The sequence below is a fragment of the Homo sapiens genome, chromosome 1, assembly GCF_000001405.40.
Source record: "Homo sapiens chromosome 1, GRCh38.p14 Primary Assembly".
NCBI lineage: Eukaryota > Metazoa > Chordata > Mammalia > Primates > Hominidae > Homo > Homo sapiens.
This window is the reverse complement of record NC_000001.11, coordinates 18,359,748-18,379,848: the sequence shown is the minus strand read 5'-3', so window position 1 is coordinate 18,379,848 and position 20,101 is coordinate 18,359,748. Positions and strand designations below refer to the sequence as shown.

Here is a 20,101-nt window from a genome sequence, read left to right as displayed (position 1 = left end):
TAACCTACTTGGGCTTCTCATGAGCCCAAAATAAATCTTTATTGTTGGCTTAGGCTGTTCTTGCATTGCTATAAAGAAATTCCTGAGACTGGGTAATTTATAAAGAAAAGAGGTTTAATTATCTCATGGTTCTGCAGTCTGTATAGGAAGCATGCTGCCAGCATCTGCTCAGCTTCTGGGGAGGACTCAGGGAGCTTTTACTTGTGGCAAGAAGGAAAGCAGGAGCAGTCAAGTCACATGGCAAAAGCAGGAGCAAGAGAGAGAGTCAGTTGGGAGTGGGGAGGTGCTACACACTTTTAAACAACCAGATCTCATGAGAACTCACTCACTCATCACCAAAGAGATGGCACTAAGCCATTCATGAGGGATCTGCCCACATGATCCTAACACCGCCCACCAGGCCACACTTCCAACACTGGGGATTACATTTCACTATGAGATATCGTGGGGACACAGGTCCAAACCACATCAACTGTGTTAAGGCAGTAAGAATCTGGGCTCAATATGTTACTGCAGTAGGACCTACCCTATCCAGACTGCTTACAATCTTCCATGGGCTCTTCTTGGTGAATCCCAAGTCTTGACCATGGCTCAGAGAGGCCAAACCCCCCCCTCTCCAAAGACTCTCGGCCCTTCTCTCTGAGTTAATAGCTGAATGGCGTGATGAATTTGTAATGTTTGAGTAGAAAGTTCTGAGAAACCTGTACCACTGACATACATGTGACCTTGACTGATGTCAGCCTTGGCCATGTGACTTGCTTTGGCTAAAGGAGTGTTCATGGACATGACACAGGCAGAGGCCTTAAACATACTTGAATGGTTTGAGTTTCTTCTTGAGCTTTTGTGGTCTACCATAAGAGGATCAAATGTCAGGTAGTCACTTCTTTAGTGTGGGCCCCAGATAAACACCCATGGAGCAAACCAACCCATGGAGGAGGCCTGAACCCAACCCACAGCTTGGAGTCCAGCCCAGTTGACCTGCTGCCTGAAGCAGAACTGCCCAGCTGAGCCCAGATTAGATCAGCTGAACCACTTCAGCCTGAACATGAACATAGTTACAAGTGCTTGTTGTTGCATGCCACTGAGGTTTGGGTTGGTTTGTTATGCAGCATTATTGTATCAATAGCTGACTATTATACTCAGCCCTGAGGAATTTGGATTTCTCGTCTCTGGCCACATTCCACGCCTGGATGCTAGGACTTGAGTGAGATAGTGAGCTCCATGTCCACTGTTCATTTGGGAAGAGCATGCCTTCCATTTCCCTTGCCATTCCCCTCTCAGTGCCTGTCCCAATGCTGAATGCCAGGAGGAGGGGCCCAGTTGCTGCTACTGAACAGATAAAGAATGCAGAGCCACAAACCGAGGTGGGGAAAATTGTTCTGTTTGTTTTAATTAAACCGACTGAAGAAGCCAAGACACAGATGGAAAGAGACTAAGAACAAGACTGGAAATAGTTTAGAAAAGAAATGAAAACCGGTCGTGGAGATGTCAGTGCCTGATGGAGTGGCCGGGGCGGGTGCCTTCACGTCAGCTCCAGAATCACTGTCAGGGCGAGCACCAAGGTGAGCCGGGCACCAGTGGGGCCAATGGAACCTGTGCCAGGAATCAGGGAAAGGGTCAGAGCCTGCAGACCCAACCCCGTTCCAGAACAGCAGAGCCTCCAGGTCCCCAACAAAGACGCTGGATTTCAGCATCAGGACAAACTGGGTTCGAAGCCCAGCTCTGCCACCTGGCCACCTAACTGTCCATGATCTCCTCCCCTACCACTAGGCTTGCTGGGCTACGGTCAGATTTCCTAGAGGCCATGAGGATGGTGCAGTGAGGACCAAGAGTGGGAGCCTCCATTGTGAACTGTGAGATTGGCTCCATGTAGGGAGGGGGTGTGGCAGGCCTGGGAGCAGCGTCTGGGCCCCCTGGGGTGGTGCTCAGGCTAGAGCAGGTTGGGGGATGCCCAGGGAGGACAGTATAAAGGGCCTGCACTGAGACATCCGTTGATGCTCCCAACCACCCTACGGAGTGGTCTGGAGTCTCAGAACGCAGCCCCACGGTCGAGGCTGGACACACCCTTCTGAGGTCAGGGCAGCCAAGCTCTGAGCTAAGAAAGCTAGAGATGCCATGGGCAGTGAGATCAAGCTCTGAGCTAAGAGGGCCAGAGATGCCATGGATGGTGAGATGGGGCAGAGTTGGCCCTGGAAATCTCAGCTGGCTGCTTTGGCAGGCTGAGTCCCTTTTTATTGCCTCAGTACCCACCTCTGCCCACTTTGGACCCTGACTCTGCCCTACTAGAGGGCAATGACCTGCCTGAGGTGTCAGGGAGTGGCAAGGGTGTGCATATGGGAAGTTTGGGGGACCAGAGCTTTCTGGCGCCTCAAAAGCCACTCCCTTTTAAGCAAAAAATCCTGAGGGTAGAGACTTACCATTAGAGTCCTCCGTTCCTCTTGGGATATTTGGGTTTTCTGTTGGAAAGAAACAGAAAGAGAACCAAAGGGTGGATGGCCTTCAGAGCTCAGGGAAGGAATGGCCCTTTACCCAGCACCTGCTGTGAGGTATCACACGCACTGTCTCAGTGCAGCCACACAACCTTCAGGGGAGCTGGATAGTATCAGCCCCATTTTGCAGATGGAGAAAGTGAGAGAGGTTAAGCAGTTTGCCTAAGGTTCTTTCTGAGTCCGAAGCTGATTTATAGTTGTAACCACTGAGCGACCCTGCCTCCCAGTGGGGCACCCTCTCAGGGCAAATTTGGGAGATTTAGGCCCAAAATTTTGGGCCCCTACTGCTTCTTCCTCCTGGGGAAACCTCCCAGACAGGACCCGCCCCTGTGGTTGTTCTCCCAGTCCCCAGTTGAGCGCGCCATACCAAACACGATGAGCCGGGTGTGCGTGTCGGTGGAGCCCAGTGGGTTCTGGGCGGTGCAGCGATACATGGAGCCATTGAGCTCGGCGGGAACCCGCTCCAGCACCAGCTCCTTCCCGTCGAACTCAGCGCTGCCGTCCAGGAGGCGGCTCCCAACCCGCGTCCACGTGAACATGGGCTCCGGGAAGACTTCGTTCTGTTGGCCAGATCAGGGGAGAGGTGGGTCACAGGAGGGCCCATTCTGCCAGATCAGCAAGGGGTCAGGGGCTGCCTGGCCAGGGGTGGCACAGCATTCTCATCCGACGGGTTAGGAGTGGCTGCCCTGAACTCCAGGAGGAGGAGGAGTCTGGGACTTAAGAGAATGTCTCGTTGAAGAGCTAGGTTTACTCTGAGTTCTAGAAGGTGTGAAACATGCATGCACCTCTTTGCCATTCCTCATGGGAGCTGATTCTCCCAATTACACATTGGGAAACTGAAACCCACTGGATGTGGCTGGGGATCAAAGGAAGAGTGTTAGAGAGGACTGCCAGGAATGCTGGTGCTGGGTCGGTGCCTCTACCACCTCCCACCACCCTCCCAGATGCTCAGAGAGAGGCTGACCTGAAACCCATGGACCAGAATCCTCACTGTGTCCCCTACCCGGGCTCTGCTGGGCGTCATCACAATTTTGGGTCCTTTGGGGGCAACTGTAGGGAGAGAAAGGCCAGGTCAGAGAGAGTAAGGAAAGGAGGGACAGGGTACATGGAAGAGAAAGTTCTAGTCTAGCAATCAACATCCTTGGGATCAGCTGCTTCTGTGAGAAGCTCAGTGTGCTCATTCATTCATTCACTCATTCACAGCTGCATTCATTCAGACATATTCCCTAAGCCCATGCAATGAATCAGATGCTCTCTAGGACCTGGGGAGTCAAGGGTGTATATAGGACATGATTCCTGCTCTTGGGGGGTTCACACATCAGTGGGGAAGAAAGACAAACAACAGACAAGTACAAGCCAGTGCCATGAGGGACAAGATCAGAGAGGCCCAGTGGACAGTGGGGTCAGGGAGGGAAACGTACCTGGGGCACGTGCTACTAGGCTGCTGAGGGGGAGCAGCCTGCACCAGCAGCCAGACTTGAGGTACCCCCAACTCCCACCCACGCTACCCCCTTGGGAGGTGCGTTTCTGGTGTCATCAGCCCCATTGTCCAGTTGAGTTAACTGGGCCTCAGAGGGTCATGAAGTGATTTGCCAAAGGTCACACCTTGAGGAGAGCCAAGATCAAGGTGCGGGTCTCCTACTCCTGAGTCAGTGCTCTTTCTAACAGGTTAATCTTCCCAGTGGGATTTTTCTAGAACCTCTGGGTAGGGGTGGACATGGTGTGGGAAGAAAGACCACCTCCTTCCTTGTGCACAGCCTCCCTGCCTCTCTTCCTCACTTTCTTGTATCACCTCTTATTCAGTCCCTTTGTATCTCTGAGCTTGAAAGCCAAGATGCCCAAAGGCATGGCTATCCTCTGAACGACACCTGAGAATATCAGGGATGGAGGAGCCACTCGGGATCATTGGGTCTGTTCCCTTCATTTCAGCTGACAAACAGAGCTCCACGGATAATGTAGAGGCTTATCCAAGGTCACTCACAGAGCCAGTTAACCATGTTTCCTGACCTTCTCGCCAGCACTCTTTCCCCCAGATTCATTCATTCACTCACTCACTCACTCAACAGTAATTATGGAGCCAGCCATTTGGAGCAGAGCTGAGGATATGGTGGTGAACAAGACCCAGTGCCTGCTGACATGGAGCTCCCACTTCAGTAGGGGTGAGAGTTCATAAGCAAACAAACACATACGCAAAACAGGATGAGAGTGACAGTGCTCCATGCAGATCACTAGACCAAGGGAGGGGGCTCAGAATTGGTGGGTGAAATCCTCAGATAGTGGTCAGGGTGCCTCTTCCAAGGAGGTGACATTTAAGCTGAGCTGTGAAGCTCACGAGGCATATTCCAGGCACAGGGAACAGCCAGGGCATGGGACAGAGGCAGGTCAGGGAGGGAAGGGGGTTGGGAGACAGATCCCATTGAGTTTCCAGGGCCGGAGGAAGGGGTGAGGGTTTTGTTTGGTACTCTATGCTTTGTGCTACTCTGTGTAAACATCTTCTAAGGGTGGAAAAGGTTTGTCCTGAGGCCCTGGGGCTGCCCTGGGATTACCCCCACCTTTCCTTGCTGGTCCCCGGACCTCTCTTTCTGACGCAAAGCTCTTAGAACGGAAATCAGAGCAGTTGGCAGATGTGGGTGGCCTCCCAGGCACTGCCAATTTCATTCTCTGAGAATGAAATCAAAGGACTATTAATTAAACCATAAGCAAGACATCTGAAATGCCACATGGGTCTAGGGAAGCATCCGTGGGAAGAGCAGGGCTTGCACCAAGGAGAGGGAATCGCTGGGAAGGGAAGGGCTGGTTCTACAGCTGCATCTGCCAGCCAGTCGTGTGGAAGGGCCACTGGCCTGGGATACCTGCGAGCTGAGTTCTAATCTGTTCTTTGCGCCCTTGGATGAGTGGCTCCCCTTCGCATTCCCAAGTGCACCATGGGAACAATGATACCCCTTGCCTAACACGCGGGGCCGTTAGGAACATCAGGCAGTGGCAGGTTTGATGGCTAACATTTGTTTAGCGAGTCCTAAGAGCCAGGACCTACATGAAGTGCCATATGCATAATCTCATTTAGCCTTCCAGCCTTTGAGATTGTCGCCATAAGGAAATGAAGGCTCAGGGAGCCCAAGTAAGTTTCTGGGTTTTAAAATGAACCCTCAAGTGCTGTAGACATCGTTTTGCAGATGGGAAACCAGGCCTAGGGCAGTCTGCCCCTGGGTAATCTTGGGGGCTCTTTACGTTCTTCAGGTGCTGCTGGGGCGGCATTGTTGGCTGCAGCCAGGAGAGGGCGCTGAAGGGCATCCCGGTCCTGGAGAAGGCTAGAGCCCTGGAGGGCAGGGGCAGACACCTTTCCCTTCTAGGTTAGATTCCTCACTGCCCTGCTTTCTAAAGGGCTTGCCTTACTCCTTCAGGCCCGGGCCTGGGCCTGCTGGTTCTAAGGGAAGAAGGAACCAACTTTTCTCAGGTGTCAAACATGCGCTAGACTCCATTTTAGGCATTTTAGGACAGTCACACCATTCTGGTACTTACGAGGCAGGTTATCACGAAACCCATTGTGCAGGTCATAGAACTGGCCCTCCAGGGGGGCAGTGGCTTGTCCAAGGTCATGCTATAGGAAGTACCAGTAACAAGACGTGATAGCACATAGGGCTTCAGAGGGAGTCTCAGAGCCCAAGGGTGGAGGTGGGGCAGAGATGGGTGCCTTCTTCCACCCAGGGCACCCCGGCTCCTGGGCTCCTGTGTGCATCTGATCCTGAGGGGCACAGAGGGTGGGCAGAAGAGGGGTCTGGTCCTCCCTCGCTGCTTTCAAGCTCTATCCTGGCAGCTGCCACTAGACAAGTGCGTTTGCAGCCGATGGTCCCTGACTCCCTCTTTTACTGCTGTGTTGAGATGTTGCTTCTGGAAGCCAAGCCTGCTGCTGTCAGCCTCCTCACTCCTTCCACCCTCAGCCTCCTGACACTCCGAGCCTGGCCCATTAGCAGCTCCAGACAATCAAAACCTACACCCCCTTGCCTGCTTCTAGACCACAATGGCTGAGAGTGCCCGAAAGGAATGCTCTTAGTCTCCGGACTTTCCTGCCTCTCAAGCCCTGGACGTAGAGAAAGAGCAGGAGTCCAGAGACCCAGGATTGACACCTAGCCCTCTACTTTCTGGCTGCATGACTTGGATGAGTCATTTCAACTTGTTGGGCTTCAGTTTTCTAACTTGTAAATGGGGAGAATAGGCTACCACCCTGCTTGAGGAAATACTCTGAAAATGACAATGGAGGAGGGAGATAAGACTGCAATGTGAAATGTAAAGTGATGTCTATCTGCTCAGGGAATGAAAAAGATCCTGGACATATAAGTTGCCTTCCTTACCTGTCCTGAGCATCCTGATGCAAGGATAGTACTGTGGAATCTCAAGGAAAAGCTCCTCTAAGTTTCCCCTAGGAATTCTGGATGCTTTCTAAGACAATCACTCACCCATTCACCCACTCATCCATCCATCCATCCATCCATCCACCCATCCATCCATCCATCCATCCATCCATCCATCCATCCATCCAAATATCCATCCTTCCAAACATCCATCTATTCATCCATCCCTCCAAACATCTATCCAAACATCCATTCATCCATCCATCCATTCATCCATCTAAACACTCATCCATCCATCCCTCCATCCACCCATCTAAACACTCATCCATCCATCCCTCCATCCACCCATCCAAACATCCATCCATCCATCCATCCATCTATCCATCCATCCAAACATCCACCCATTCATCCATCCCTCCAAACATCCATCCAAATATCCATCCATCCATCAAAACATCCATCCATCCATCCATCCATCCATCCATCCATCCATCCTTCCATCCATCCAAGCATTCATTTTATTCATTCATCTATTCAAACATCCAACAATCCATCCAAGTGCCTACCCATAAACCTACCAATTTGCTTACCCATCCATTTCTTCATTTGCTCTATCCATCTAATTCTTTATTGTACACCTAATTTGTGGTGGTCACTATTCCCGGTCACTGTTGGGGATACTATGATGAATAATAACAGTAGCTTATATTTCCTGAATATTTCCTCTGCCTGTCACTATAAGCACTTTGTATGCACTGCCTTACTTAATCTTCTCAACAACCTAGAAAAGCATTAATTAATTAACTATTAAACAGTTGTTTATTAAGAACTATGTTGGGGTTGTTCTGAGCCCTGTACTCTGTGAACTAGGCGGATAAAGAAGACCCTGCCCATGTGCCATTTAAATTCTAGTGGGTGATGGGAATGCGCAGAGTTTGGTTGAGGTGGTGGTTACACCAGCATTCACATTTATTAAAATCTGTCAAATTGTGCACTGAAGGACCTGCATTTCCCAATATGTAAATTTTATCACAGTTAAAACATATATGAAGAATGAATTGTTCAAGCCAGTTCACCTGACTGCCATTACATCTAAAACCAAATCTCAATTCCTACCTTGTGGGCGATTCAGACAATAAGCAAATATAGAATATACTTGTAGGTGGAAATGAGTTATGTAAGAAAACAAAGCAAGAGAAGGGGTGGAAGGAACCAGGAGGAAGAGGCTGCTTTAGATAGAGTGTTCAAGGAAGGACCCTCTGAGTAGAGGACTCGAGCAGAGGCCTCCTTCCAGTCAATTTCCATTCTTCATAGGCCAACACTGTTCCCATTTCTATCAATGGATATTTATTTTTTGTTCTAGAATTTCAAATAAATGGACTCACACAGTGAGTACTCTGTCATCTGGCTTCTTTTGATCAACATTTTTTTTTTTTTTTGAAATGGAGTCTTACTCTATTGCCTAGGCTGGAGTGCAGTGGCGCAATCTCAGCTCACTGCAACCTCCACCTCCCAGGTTCAAGGGATTCTCCTGCCTCAGCCTCCCAAGTAGTTGGGCCTACAGGCATGAGCTACCATACCCAGCTAATTTTTGTATTTTCAGTAGAGCCGAGGTTTCACCATGTTGGCCAGGCTGGTCTCAAACTCCCGGCTGCAAGTGATCCACCTGCCTCGGCCTCCCAAAGTTCTGAGATTGCAAGTGTAAGCCACCGTGCCCAGCCTGATCAACATGTTTTTGAGCTCCATCCATGCTAATGCAGGTATCATGAGTTCATTCATTTGTATTGATAAAAAGTATTTTGTTATATGAATATACTACAAATACGTTTATTCATTTTTCTAATTATGGACATTTAGATTATTTACAGTTCTGTTGTTTTTGCTGTTGCCATGAATAAAGCTGCTGTGGACATATGTTTTCATTTCTCTTGGGTAAATACCTAGGAGTGAAATCGTTGGGTCATAAGAACAGAAATATTTTTATCTTTGTAAGAAACTGCCAGTTTTTCAAAGTAGTAGTACCATTTTATTCTGCAGTCAGCAAAGCATGAGAATTCTGATTGTTCTACCTTCTTGTCAACATCTGGTATTGTCAGTTTTTAAAATTTTAGCCACTCTAATAGATGTGAAATGGTATCTCATGGAGGTTGGAATCTTCATTTCTCTAATAACTAATAATGTAGTGTAGGTTTTTACATGTTTATTAGCCATTTGTATATTTTCTTTTTTAAAAAATTGGGTAGTCTTTCATTATTGATTTGTCATAGTTCTTTATATATTCTGGTTACAAATGCTTTGTCAGATATATGTATTGAGAGTATTTTCTCTCATTCTATAGTTTGCTTTTCTTTTTTCTCAAGGATATCTTTGTAAGAGCAGAAGATTTAATTTTTGATTAAGTCCAATTTACCAAATTCAATTTATCATTTAGTTTTTATTTAGTTTTTATTTTGTGACCACTTTAAGAAACCTTTGTTACACAAATATCACAAAGGCTATGTTTTGTTCTAGAGGCTTCATGATGCTGACTTCTACTTTTAAATCTATGATTCATTTCAAATTAATTTTTGTGTGTGTGCGAGGCAGGGGTCCAGGTTTAATTTTTCCTTATGCCTATTCATTTGTTTCAGGGTCATTTTTTAAGAGAACTTCTCTTTCCTGATTGAACCGCCTTGGGGGTCTTTGGCAAAAATCAATGAACTCTGTGTATGTAGATCTATTTCTGGACTCTATCCTGTTTTGTCAATCTATTTGTCTACCACAGGAAGGTTTTGGGCGGGTGTCATGATCTGATTTATATTTTAAGTAGATCAATCGGGGTGGGAAATAGGATAGGGTGAAAGTGGAAGCAGAACGATCAGTTTGAAGGCTACTCTAATAACCCAGGCTTGAACTGATGGTGCTTGGGTTGGGTATTTGGAGAGGAGACCGTGAGGAGTGGCAGATTTGGGATATATTCTGAAGTTGAGCTGCCAGGGCTTAATGATGGTTTGCATGTGGGATAGGAGGGAAGAGTGGAAAAGGTGAGGGGTCTGCAAGGCTTCTGGTTTGATCAATGGGAAGGACATGGTTGCCATTTAGTGAGATGGGTGCCAGGACGCTCAGGCATCTGTGGTCCAGATTACGAGAAAGGTACAAATCTGGTGAGACAAGAACTGAGAAGAGGCACAAACAGCTCAAAGGGTTGGGGGAGAGTCAGAGAAATCTTCCTGGAGGGGTGGCATTTCAGCTGCGGAGGGCATCCCTGCAAGGGAAGAGGAGGAGCGAAGGCTCATTGCAGGGAGACACATCCCACCCTCGTTGGCCTGATCTTCAAAATCCTTGTTGAATGATTGGATTTTGTGCTCTGAGGTCATCTAATCCGTCCCACTGTCTCACCCAGAGTGCAGGGTGCCCTGATGGTGCAAGGTGCATACACTCACGACTCTTTGGCTCATGGCACATTCCACTGGTCATATCCCCTGGCTCAGTGACGTCTCACCACAGCCCTGACAGGTGGGCTGTAGAGCACAGTGGTTAAGAATGTGAGATCTGGGGCCAGACAGCCTTGGCTGGCTGACCTAAGAAAGGTTACTCTAAACCTGAGTCCCTCACCTCTCAGATGGGAATAATATGATAGCAACTCTCAGCGGCCTCACAGGTTCACTGCAGGTTTAAAGGAGACCTGGTGAGGAAAGCATCTTGCAGAGAGCCTGGCTCTGAGTAGGTGCTCAAAACATTTGTGCAGTTACTATTCTCCCCCTTCATCAGGTCAGAAAACTGAGACTCAGAGACGTTAAGAAGTCTGAATTCTCACTCAGCAGTCGAGGGAGGCTAGGAAGTCAGCCCAGGTGTCTCTTTACTCACCCACCCAATTAGGGCCCTTCATCTTGGTGGCCCTGCTGTGTCCCCCATGCCCCAAATCCCCCGGTGTGTGCAGACCTGCCTGTCCAGGCCCACTGCTTATGAGTGGGCCCTTCTTTCTCTTGCTCTGATGATGAGTGGGGGTGCCCACAGAGGCGGCTCCAGTTAAGGGAGGGCCTGGGATCCAGGACAGAGCAGGCAAGTGCTTTAATGTGGTTTGGGGTGCTGTTGATAGGGGTCACACAGGCCAGCAGAGGCACACCCCCTCTCATCACTAGAAGATGTCAGCTACAAGCTCACTTTTCACCAGCTGCCTTGAAGTCTGTATCTGGCCTTTCATCTTTCTCCTCCTTATTCTTGGTGGGGTGGGGCAAGGGTGCCACCCCGCTGGAAGCCAGAGCTTCCACAAGAGGGGCAGGAGGGGGCTTTCATAAATGAAGCAACCAGGTAAAGGGTGGAGGCTGCTCTGTCAGGGGAGGAAGAGGCCATGGAAGGATGGAGGGTCCAGAGAGAGGAGTGAAGGGCTGGAAAAGCAGGAGGACCAAGAGAGGGGTCGGAGCAGGCTCTGGGTTGGGAAGATCCCAGCACTTAGTACAGGGCCTGGCCTTGTGATGCTTGTAATATCTTTTTTCCCCCCAACTTTTTTTTTTTCTTTTTGAGATGAAGTCTCACTCTATCACCTAGGCTGGAGTGCAGTGGTGCAATCTCGGCTCACTGCAGCCTCTGCCTCCTGGGTTCAAGTGATTCTCCTGTCTCAGCCTCCTGAGTAGCTGGGATTATAGGCACACACCACCAAGCCCAGCTAAGTTTTGTATTTTTTTTTTTTAGTAGAGATGGGGTTTCACCACATTAGTCAGGCTAGTCTTGAACTCCTGACCTCATGATCCACCCGCCTTGGCCTCCCAAAGTGTTAGGATTACAGGCGTGAGACACTGTGCCTGGCCCTGCTTGTGATATCTTTATGGAATGATGAACAAAGAGTACCCAGGAAGTGGGCACCTGTGACAGAGGGACGCCGTGAGGAGGCAGAGTGAGAGGCTTAGAGCAGACTCTGGAGCCTTTGAATTCTCCCCCACTCACCTTGGGCAACTTAACTTCCCTGAGCCTCAGCTTCCTCCTCTGTGACATGGGATAATAATGGTGCCTGTCTCACTGGGTTAATATAAGAGAGGCCACAGTCTGTGGCATATAGTAGGTGCTCACTAAATGTTAGCCTTTATTTTTAGTTTCTGTATGGGCAGGTGGCCTGTGAAAATCAAAAGGCTGCTGGGTGCGGTGGCTCACGTCTGTAACCCCAGCACTTTGGAGGCCGAGGCAGGTGGATCACCTGAGGTTGGGAGTTTGAGACCAGCCTGGCCGATATGGTGAAACCCCACCTCTATTAAAAAAAAAAATTAGCAGGATGTGGTGGAAGGCACCTGTAATCCCAGCTACTTGAGAGACTGAGGCAGGAGAATCACTTGAACCTGGGAGGCTGAGGTTGCAGTGAGCCAAGATCACCCACTGCACTCCAGCCTGGGTGTGACAGAGCCAGACTCTGTCAAAAAAAAAAAAAAAAAAAAAAGAGAGAGAGAGAGAATATCAAAGGTCCATTGTAATGGGTCTTCAGGGAACCAGTCCCATAACCAGTCAAGACACCACATCCTGGGGCTGGTGAGTTCAGTGGTTGGCATGGTAGTGAGTGAAGAAGGCACCAATAAACTTGGCTTGAAATTTCAACGCCGCTACATACAAAGTTAACGACTTGGCAAAGTACTCTACCAACTTGAGCCTCAGTTTTGCTCATATGCAAAATGAGACTACACAGCCAACTTGTGCTTGTGAGGATTGGATGAGAATCCTTGCAGATGTTCCTGGCACATAGTACATACTATCCGTACAAGAAATCCTTTTCTTTGGTATTTGATACTGAGGAGGTGTTGGGTTTTCTGATGGTCCAGATGAAACAGAAGCTCTCTAGAACACCTGACACAAGCTGCAGTCCCAATTCTTGTCAGTTACTGCTCTCAGTCCTTGGTCATGAGTGGCCTGGGTTAGAGGCTGTGGACTGCTCCAGGCAGCCCCTGACACTACAGGAGTTTTGGAGTATGAGCCCAGGCATCTCGGGCTCAGGGAGGAGCTGCTGGGGGCTGCAAATCAAGGTTCAAAGGACATAGGGGAAAGGACAAGCACAGGTCATCGTGCCCATCCCCTGCCCTCGCCCACCCAGTCCATACAAACAACTGGAGATGAGTCTTGTATATTTTCAGCAACGAAGATTCCACATCTCCCCTTTCCCTGCCCTGAGTCAGTGGGGAGGACCAGTATAAGGGGAAGAGAGTGAGTTACCAGGGAACTGCTTTGGGGATCCCTGGGTTGGTGCTCTGTGGGGAGAGGTGCAGATCATGGACATGGATTAGATTCTTGGGCTGAGCTGTCTCTGGGCAGCCAGTGTCCTCTTTGCCTGCCTCCCACATACCCACAGATGACAGGGTTTTCATTGTACTTAAAAGTGTAAGCCGGAGTGATATCCTTCCATGTCCTATGTGTTCCTGACCCCAACCTGGCAAAAATTCCTATGACTTTCAGAATTCTCGAACCCGATCCAGCAAAGCCTGCAACCTCCCAGGTTTGCAACCCTTATGCAGCAACTGTCCTCTGAGCTCACTGGGCTCATATGCAATCCAGAAAATCTCCCTGTCACCTCCCATGTTCCCACCTGTGATGTAGAAAACTCCCCTGAGCATGCCATGACCTCAAGGTTCCTCTCCTTGATCCGACAAATGTCCCCTGATCTCTTGTGCTCCTGAGGCTGACTAGAAAAATCTTGACCTCCCCTGGTCTTCACGCTGACCTATGCTTCTGACTTGACTCAGCAACCCTTCCTGAAGAAACCCGACTCTTGTGTATACTTTATTTACCCAGCAAACATCCTGGTTCCAGTTTTGACCTAGAAAACCTCCCCTGTTTTTAACACCAATCCAGCATATTTCTCTGACTTTCCATCTTTTTTATCTGGACTGTACAAACTCCCTGACCTCTCATGTTGCTGACCCAGCCCAGTGACTCCCTTGCTTTTCCCCAACCTCTTATGTTCCTGACCCAACCCAGCAAATCTCCTCAATCTCTTGTTTCTGACCCTTCCAGAAGACCTCCTAGACCTCCCATGTTCCTGATCTAATCCAGGAACTCCTCTGACCTCCCCTGATCTCCTGTGTCCCTGACCCTATCCAGCAAACTCTTCTGACCTCTCATGTTCTTGGCTCAACCCAGCAAACTACCTTGGCCTGTGGGTACCTCCCATCTTCTCCAATCCAGCTCAGCAAACCTCCCTAAGAACCTGACTCTACCATTTGTGCTCATCCTGACTCCAGTTTGCTCCATCTCCTCCCCCTTTCCATGGCTGTCCTCAGCCCAGGAACCCTATTCCAAGGCTCTCCCCACACCCAGGTCTGCAAGGGCTCTACAGAAGGGCCCCCACCAAGTCTTACCCAGCGTGACCTCTGCCTGCATGGGCATCGACAGAGCTGGGTGCTTGACCTCGCAGCTGAAGAGGGCCTCGTTGTCGATCTGTGGGTTGAGGGTCCAGGTGAGCAGGGCACGTACTTCCACAGTGCCGTCACTGCTCGGGGTGCGGCTGTGGCGCAGGAAGTAGGTGGGCTCGGCGCTGTGGACCCAGCGGGGAAACTCACGGCTCACGACCGTCTCTGGTATGTTCTCTGTGGTTGGCTGGAGGAGGATGTTGGGATCTGGGGTCAGGCCACGGGAGGGGCGCTCCGTGTAGGGTCGCCCACCCCGGTTCTCGGCGTCCAGGAGGGACAGTGACTTCTGCATCTTGGTGTCATCCAGGTCACGGTGCAGAAGGCTGCGGAAGGGCCTGCTGTCCTGTAGGGGGCCGGAGCTCGCAGCTGGTGGCTCTGATAGGGGCACTGCGTCGATTGGTTCCCCATCTCGTTTGAAATAAACCTGCCATTGTAAGGAGGGTGTGGGAAAATGATTTTGTGCTACTAACTTCAACCTCCCAGTGGGTTCTCCGATGAACTGGGCACAGGATGCCAGTTCTTCCAGAGCATAGTAGTCTAGACAGTAGCCCTCACCCCACTCTTTTCCCTTCAACACCCCCAAGAACTATGAGCCAGTGTGGTACAATGGGAACACATGCAGGCCCTTGGGGCAGAGGCTTAGCCCAATCCCATCATTTACCAACTGATGAGGTTTTTTGAGCCTCAGTTTCTTCACTTGTCAAGAGAAGAATAAGACACCTGCTTCATGGGGCTGTTGGGTGCATCAGTGGAACCACATGGGAAATGGGGACTTCGGCCTACACCATGGCAACCACCTGGGGCCCAAGGGTGTGGTCCATGCCCACTCAGGGAGGTCCTGGGGATGAGGGAAAAATGGAAGGCACCGGGGATGAAGTGAGACGTTGGGAGAGGATGAGGGAAGAAAGAATCTCTGTGCGTGTGCGTTTTGGAGATGGAAGGCAGAAAACAGGTGCATGTGTGGGAGGAAGCTAGGTGCGGGGATGAGGTGAGAGCAAACATCTCCTCACTTTCTCTGCTAACGGGGAACTCAAGTTTTGTGAGGCGGCATTTAATTTAATTTGCTGTCTTTTTATTTTGGTACATGTGCCCAGATTCCTGAGGGGATTGGATGTATTTTTAATAAATCTGATAAATAAATCGATAGGGGGGCGGGAGAGGGAAGAGTGGGATGCAGCTCTCTGGGACACAGGTGGGGGAGCGGAAGGAAAGTGTGTGGAGGGAGGGACTGCAGGGGGGTGAAGGAGGTGGGAGGGGATGGGGGTAGGAAATGTAGGATTTTTGTCGGAGTTTGTAATGCCAACAAAGAATCTCTTCTGCACATGATAGCCTGCGTTGGTTTTTTTTCCCCCATTTATTTTCTTCTTTCCTTTTTTCTTTTTGAAAAGTGCTTTAAATGCAGGTTTGTAATTTATATCAAAGAATTACTTTAAAGTTCTGATGTCTCAGGCAAACATAAGATGCCTGGGATTTGGGGAGATGAGGTTCTTTTGCATGTCTATATCTGAATATTTTATTGCCGTGTCGCAAATGTTGGGGCAGGCAGACAGGCTGGGTAGGAGGGGTCTTCCTACAGCCCCTGGGCTGTGAAAAGCCTTTCTTTGTGCCTTTCAGGAAAGGACTTTTTCTCTGTGAGAAAAAAACAGCTTTCCTGATTTTAGGGAGACTGGACCTGTCTATGGCCTCCAAAGGGGAAAATCTGGGGTCATGTCCTGCTTTCAGCAACTGGCTTTGAAGCTACCTTTTTGGGTCCACTTCCTAGGGACTGAGGCTTGTCTCTGTTCCCCTGCCCACCACCCCACCTGTGTCTCTGTGCCCCTGCCCAGTGCCCCACCTGTGTCTCTACTCCTCTGCCCACAATCCCACCTGTGCCTCTGCACCTCTACCCACCGCCTCACCTGTGTCTCTACTCCCCTGCCCATCACCCCACCTGTGTCTCGGCACCTCTGCCCACTGCCCCACCTGTGCTTCTGTGCCCCTGCCCATTGCTCCATCTGTGCCTCTGCACCTCTGTCCACTGCCCCACCTGTGCCTCTGTGCCCCTGCCCACTGCCCCACCTGTGTCTCTACTCCCCTGCCCACTGCCTCACCTATGTCTCTGTGCCCTTGCCCGCTGTCCCACCTGTGTCTCTGCATCCCTGCCCACTGCCTCACCTGTATCTCTGCATCCCTGTGACCCTGCCAGCTGCCCCACCTGTGTCTCTGTGCACCTGCTTACTGCCCTGTCCTGGACCTCTACAGACCCATTTACCACCCTGCCCCAGGTCGCAAGGCAGGGCTGGCCTAGATTCCCAAGGCCGCACAATTGGACCATGCCTGGGAGACAATTGGGTCTGGAATGAGGGGAACCATTTGGCTCCCGTCTTGAACTGTAATCCTATGTACCCATTGCTCTAGCTCCACACCTTGCTAAATCCTAGTACTGTGCGAAACTCACAGGATCAAGACCCAAAGTATTATAAAATGTCAAAATTGAAAGGGTACGTAGCCCAAACTTTCTCCAAATGGGTTTCATGGAAGCCTACGGGTTCTACAGAGGTGCTTCAGGTGCAATGAGAGTGACTTGGCCTCTCTTCACTTTTAAATGTCATATATATGAGGCTTCCCTGTATATCATTTAGACCAAAAGGGTCCTCGTGCTACTAAAAAAGCTGAAAAACAAATATTGTCCAGCCCCCTAAACTTCCTTGCAGAAACAGAGGCAGAAGTGGGGAGGGGGCATTTCCTGCTCATGGTTGTTCAGTGAGTACAGCAGGGCCAGGACCCCAGCTCTCTGGACGCTGCACCTCCTGCCCCACCCCCTTCAAGAGGTCATAAAAAATCTCGTGAACTGCACTGACAAATATCAAAGAAACTATGTTGGGTCTAATAAGTTGGTCAAAAAGGAATTTCCTCTCTCTTCCCTCCCTTTCTCCCTTCCTTCTCGCCCTTCCATCCTGTCCCTCCTTTCAGATGGGCTTCCTGCTGATCATGTGGGCTCCTGGGAATGCCAGTGAACCTGGAGCTTGAGACACGGACTTGAGACCCAGCTCTGTCAGGAGTGCCATGGTGACTTGGGACAAGCCCCTTTTCCTCTCGGGGCCCCCTTTCATTTGTCTCCGTGGGACTCAATAACTGGGGTCAGGCATGCTGGGTCTTGGGCTCCCCGAAAGGCTGCTCCTGCTGTGAAGTTCTAGTACTTTGTCTCCAGGAGAAGTGGGGGTTCTCAGCATGGGGAGATGGGTAGCAACAGGGGCACATGGATGCCTGGACCAGTCCAATGGGTAAACGGGATCAGACCAAGGCAGATGGGGACAGAGTCAGCCCTGGCCAACCACTCCCTTTCCAGGCACAGTGGCGACACCTGCAGCTGGACCAGCCCCGAAGCAGGGTGGTCCGGCAGATAGGAAGGAGCTGGGCACTCCAGGGGTACTCACCATGGGTGCTGGTTTTCCTCCAGACACGATGCAGACCAGCGTGAAGTTCTGGGCTTGGTAGCGGCTGAAGGGGGCTGGTGTGTCAGCAGCCACCACTTCAATGGAGGTGGGAGGAGCTGCCCCAAAAGGAAGCACAGGAAGACAAGGGCTCAACTGGGAGATTCAGGAAGAGTTCACTGATGACCTAAGATGGGCCACGTCCATGCTGGGTGCCGGGGGTGGGGGAGGGCAGGTGTTGCCAAACTCCAGGGGGTGCCATTGGTATCCACTACAGTGAGGAACACGTCCTTGCTGGGAATATAGACAAGAGCCCTCCCCTCCTGGAGCTTACAGTTTAGTGTAGAAGACACACAGGAATCAAGAGATAGCACAGATCAAAGTGTGAAGTGCATCAGATCCCCGGAGGCATCAGTGTGTTGAGGGGACTCTGCCCGAGCCTGGGAGTTCTGGGCAGACGCTGCTGAAGCAGCCACATTGCTGCCGTGATCTGAGGTCACAAGAGTGGGTGGGAGACAGCGTGGCAGGTAGAAGGAGCTTTGAGTTTTAACACCTTGAGTTTTAACAAGTCCTGAGATTCCCAGCCTCTCAAGTAGCTGGGACCACAGGTGTGTGCCACCATGCCTGGATTATTTTTGTGCCAGAGCCCGCAGTAGGTTGGCCAGGACAGAGCGGGGCAGGCCAGGGGGAATGCGGTGCCCAGCGGGGCTGGGCATATGAGCAGGGCACAGAGCACGTGGTGTGCTGTCAGGGGGATTATGACTTGAACTGGCATGCTGGAGCAGGTTGTGACATTTTCAGGAATTTTATGAACCGGCGGTTAACTGTTTGTAACTTGTCACAGTGAGTATCTTCACATCACAAAAAACAGCAACTGCTATACTTTGGGGCCTTTTCCCCCCTTCCTCTGCCCTAGCCCCCAGAGGGCTGATTTATCTTTAAAGCACAGGTTTTGGGTTTTTCTTCTTTATCCTGAGAGCAATGGGGAGCCACTGAAGGTTTTCAGTGAGAGCAGTGACATCATCTGACTTGCATTTGGAAGAGACTGAAAACAGAGTGGGAATTTCAGCTGGGGAGGATGGTACCGTACACTTGGATGGGGGCAGCTGGACAGCTATTTGTGGCCAGGAGTCTTTCCTTCCATCCTTTCTGGAAGTTGGCTTATTTTTGTTGGCCACCCCTCCCACCCACTCAACCTCTCTTCTCTCCTCACCCACTGCCCCTGGCTGGTTTGTCAAAACCCTTGCTCCCAGACACCGTGGGGCATCGCAAGGGGCAGGGACTGGGCCATCAGGCACACCTGGGTCTGAATCTCAGCTCGGTCACCACCACCTCCACGTGCTTGGGCAAGTCACCAAAACTGTGAGCCTCAGTCCCCCAATTTGCTAAATGGGAATAATATTAATACTTGGCAGACATTTTTGCAGGACAAAACTAGCTAATGCATATGAAAATGCTTAGCATATGGTAGGAATTTGCTATTATTGTGATTTCTGCTATTATTTCCCTAACCTCCTCATAATCAGCAGGACAGGAACCAGAATCTTAGAGCCTCACTTGGGAAAAGCTGTCAGTTCTGATTTACCCAGCCTTGGGACACGCACAGGGAGGGAAGCAGAGAAAATAAAGAGGTATGGGCCTTTCCTTCCTTCAGGGGGTTTTCACTCTAGTTAAGTTTAATTAAATTCGACAAACATTTCCTGACACCTACTAGGTGCCGGGAACAATGCCAGGTGCTGCCAGGAGGTGCCCAATGATGAAACAGGTGAAGCATTGCAAAGTTCACAGTCAGGTGGGGGCGACAGACACACGGGCAACTCTATTTCAAGGCCTAGTGAAATGAAATCAGGTATGAGTCATTCATTCATTCAGGGAGCCAACCCATGCTGTCAGCAAGAGAAGCAGAGCACACAGAAAACAATGGGAGAACAATAGTTGGAGAATTGTAATTAAGCGTAAGATCGCATAAAACAGATGGTAAGCCGGATAGGAATTCCGAGAAGGGAAAAATACAGCAGAACACGTCAATTACCTAGAAATTGCAGATTCTGCAATCTAACCTTTCCAAAACTCAACCGAAAACCTGGATCCCACACAAGAATCCACAACGGCTAACTCTTAGGAATCAGGACCTGTTCTGAGTTCTTAACATGTGTGCATTCTTTCTGTCTTCACCATCAGTCTACAGGCTGGGTTTATTTATTCCCATTTTACAGATGGGGAAAATTAAGAGGTGAAGCAACTTGCTCAGACTCACTCACGGTGCCAGTATGAGGAAGAGCCAGGATTTGAACTCAGGCAGTCTGACTCCAGAGCCCAGCCTCTGACATGAAGCTGAGCCACCTCGACCTTTGGGAAGAAAAAGGGAGCTTGTATCTATTGGTGCCTTTAGGTGTATGTACACATTTGAACCACCAGGAACATTCACTTACCTTCCATGGATGCCTTATAATCAAATTCCATCAGGAACTGATGCTGTGGGTGGC

General features: G+C 50.1%; 1 protein-coding gene across 4 annotated transcripts in view; it reads right to left on the bottom strand.

Moving 5' to 3' along the window:
* IGSF21 (immunoglobin superfamily member 21) overlaps positions 1,366–20,101 on the bottom strand; it is a 270,686-nt gene continuing 251,950 nt past the window's right edge. For 3 of the 4 annotated variants that reach the window (NM_032880.5, XM_017002604.3, XM_017002605.1), the window contains 6 exons: positions 17,619–17,734; positions 14,152–14,626; positions 3,454–3,539; positions 2,857–3,049; positions 2,418–2,456; positions 1,366–1,593 (listed from right to left, as the gene is read on the bottom strand). In NM_032880.5, the coding sequence (NP_116269.3) occupies positions 1,523–1,593; positions 2,418–2,456; positions 2,857–3,049; positions 3,454–3,539; positions 14,152–14,626; positions 17,619–17,734 (980 nt within the window). In that variant the 3' untranslated portion in view covers positions 1,366–1,522. The remainder of the gene's footprint in view (positions 1,594–2,417; positions 2,457–2,856; positions 3,050–3,453; positions 3,540–14,151; positions 14,627–17,618; positions 17,735–20,101) is intronic. The other variant, XM_011542319.4, reaches the window with a different exon arrangement.